The sequence below is a fragment of the Homo sapiens genome, chromosome 9 (genome assembly GCF_000001405.40).
Source record: "Homo sapiens chromosome 9, GRCh38.p14 Primary Assembly".
NCBI lineage: Eukaryota > Metazoa > Chordata > Mammalia > Primates > Hominidae > Homo > Homo sapiens.
This window is the reverse complement of record NC_000009.12, coordinates 73765121-73767784: the sequence shown is the minus strand read 5'-3', so window position 1 is coordinate 73767784 and position 2664 is coordinate 73765121. Positions and strand designations below refer to the sequence as shown.

The following is a 2664-nucleotide window of genomic DNA, read 5'->3' as shown; positions in this document are numbered from 1 at the left end:
AAGACACAAGTGATAGTGCATTCGGAACCCACCCATGTGACTTAATTTAAACATAACTGCGTTTTTATGGGTTCTGTCTTCAAATACAATCACACTGGGAGCTTAGGACTTCAACATGTGATGCTTGAGGAAACATAATTCCGTCCATAACAAGTGGCATGTCAGATTCAATATTTGGGAGTCCCTTTAAGACTGAAAGCTGGGCAGTGACTGAGGGATGGGTAAGGGATATTTCACACAGTTAATATTATGAAAATATCTCAGTTCATAGACATATAAGATTAGATGATGTGTTTTCATCAGGATGTCTTCTCACCCTGCACTCCAGGAAAACAAATCGTGTAAGACTACCTATTTTCCCTCCTCCTGCAGGGCTGACCTTTGTGATTTTTCTAGATAAAGTTATATGGAAGTGCACTTTCATTCACATCTTAAGTGTCTTCTCCTTAGAGAGGGACGTTTTCATAAAGTGGGAAAGCCAGGCCTACATATTTTGCCTTTGCGCCTTTTGGATTGTGAGATCTTGGTAGAATTGGGAGTGCCTTGTGGCTATAAGATGGTGGGATTAAGGGAGAGCCAATCAGGTTGATTTTGTTTATTAGAGGAAGATTTTTTTTTAAGCACAGGTTTGAAGGCACAGAAACTCTGCCGGTTCCATTTCTTCTGAACAATCTCTAATTAATAAGGACCTACTAGGTCAGATGAAAACAGTTGAAGAACAGAGAAGGAAGGCAAAATTCAGATTGCTCTGAATTGAGATGGTAAAGAATTAGGCCCTGCTCTTTGAAAAGGCTGGCTCCAAAGCAAGTTTTCTCACCCTCAGCATTAGCGGCATTTGAGCCAGTTAGGGCGTGTGGCTGTCCTATGCATGGTAGAAAGTTTAGCAGCATTCCTGGTTTCTACTTACTAAATGCTGACAGCTCCCCCTCGCCCCAGTTTTGACAGCTGAAAATAACTCCAAACATTGCTAAATGTCCCATGGGAGATAAAATTGACAGCAATTGAGAGCTACTGACCTAGAGAGAAGAGAAATTAGGCATTATCACGAGAGGGGTATGGTGTCCTTTTTTTTCAGTTTTTTTGTTTTGTTTTGTTTTGCTTAGGATGAAGGATGCTTGTATATATTTAAAACTGGCAGAGTAGTGTCCAATTATCCACATAAGGTTGACTACCTGAGATTCTTTTCCTCACTCTCCTAAAACATTACTAAAATAACAGTGGCAATAAAGGCTCAAAAGAGATACAAACTCCAAAAGGACAAAGAAAACAGTGGAATAGACATGGACAGATGAGCAATTTAAGTAGTTTTTCTGAACCCAGAAAAGAGACATTGTGGTGATTACTGAGTTAGAAGATTAGGGAAAGACATAACTTTTTTTTTTTTTTTTTTTTTTTTTTTTTTTTTTTTTTTTACTTTAAGTTCTGGGATACATGTGCTGAACGTGCAGGTTTGTTATGTAAGTGTATATGTGCCATGGTGGCTTGCTGTACCTATCAATCCATCATCTAGGTTTTAAGCCCTGCATGCATTAGGTATTTGTCCTAATGCTCTCCCTCCCCTTGCCCCCCACCCCCGACTGGCCCTGGTGTGTGAAGTTTCCTTCCCCGTGTCCATGTATTCTCATTGTTCCACTCCCACTTATGAGTAAGAACATGCGGTGTTTGGTTTTCTGTTCCTGCATTAGTTTGCTGAAGACGATGGTTTACAGCTTCATGTCCTTGCAAAGAACATGAACTCATTCTTTTTTATGGCTGCATAGTATTCCATGGTGTATATGTGCCATATTTTCTTTATCTAGTCTATCATTCATGGGTATTTGGATTGGTTCGAAGTCTTTGCTATTGTAAATAGTGCTGCAATAAACAGCACTATTTACTGTTTCTATAGTAAACATTACTACTATGCATGCGTCTGTCTTTATAGTAGAATGATTTATAATCCTTTGGGTATATACCCAGTAATGGGATTACTGGGACAAATGGTATTTCTGGTTCTAGATCCTTCAGGAATCATCACAGTGTCTTCCACAATTGTGGAACTAATTGACACTCCCACCAACAGTGTAAAAATGTTACTATTTTTCTGCATCCTTGCCAGCATCTGTTGTTTCCAGGCTTTTTAATGATCACCATTCTAACTAGCGTGAGATGGTATCTCATTGTGGTTTTGATTTGCATTTCTCTAATAACCAGTGATGATGAGCATTTTTTCATATGTTCGTTGGCCACATATTTATGTCTTCTTTTGAGAAGTGTCTGTTTGTATCCTTTTCCCACTTTTTGATGGGGTTATTTGTTTTTTCTTATAAATTTGTTCAAGTTCCTTGTAGATTCTGGATATTAGACTTTGTCAGATAGATAGATTGCAAAAATTTTATCCCATTCTGTAAGTTGCCTGTTCACTCTGATGATAGTTTCCTTTGCTGTACAGAAGCTCTTTAGTTTAATTAGACCCCATTTATCAATTTTGGCTTTTGTTGCCATTGCTTTTGGTGTTTTAGTCATGAAGTCTTTGCCCATGCCTATGCCCTGAATGGTATTGCCTAGGTTTTCTTCTAGAGTTTTTATAGTTTTAGGTTTTGTGTTTAAGTCTTTAATCCATCTTGAGTTAATTTTTGTATAAGTTGTAAGGAAGGGGTCCAGGTTCAGTTTTCTGCATATGGC

The 2664-nt window shown here is 38.3% G+C and overlaps 1 annotated feature.

Moving 5' to 3' along the window:
* Window positions 2137-2306: an enhancer, noted in NCBI's record as "experimental_108077 CRE fragment used in MPRA reporter constructs". NCBI's record gives its function as "activates a minimal promoter by MPRAs in K562 erythroleukemia cells, with activity observed for the non-introgressed 9:76380480 variant allele {active_cell/tissue: K562}" and the evidence as "EXISTENCE:reporter gene assay evidence [ECO:0000049][PMID:34662402]".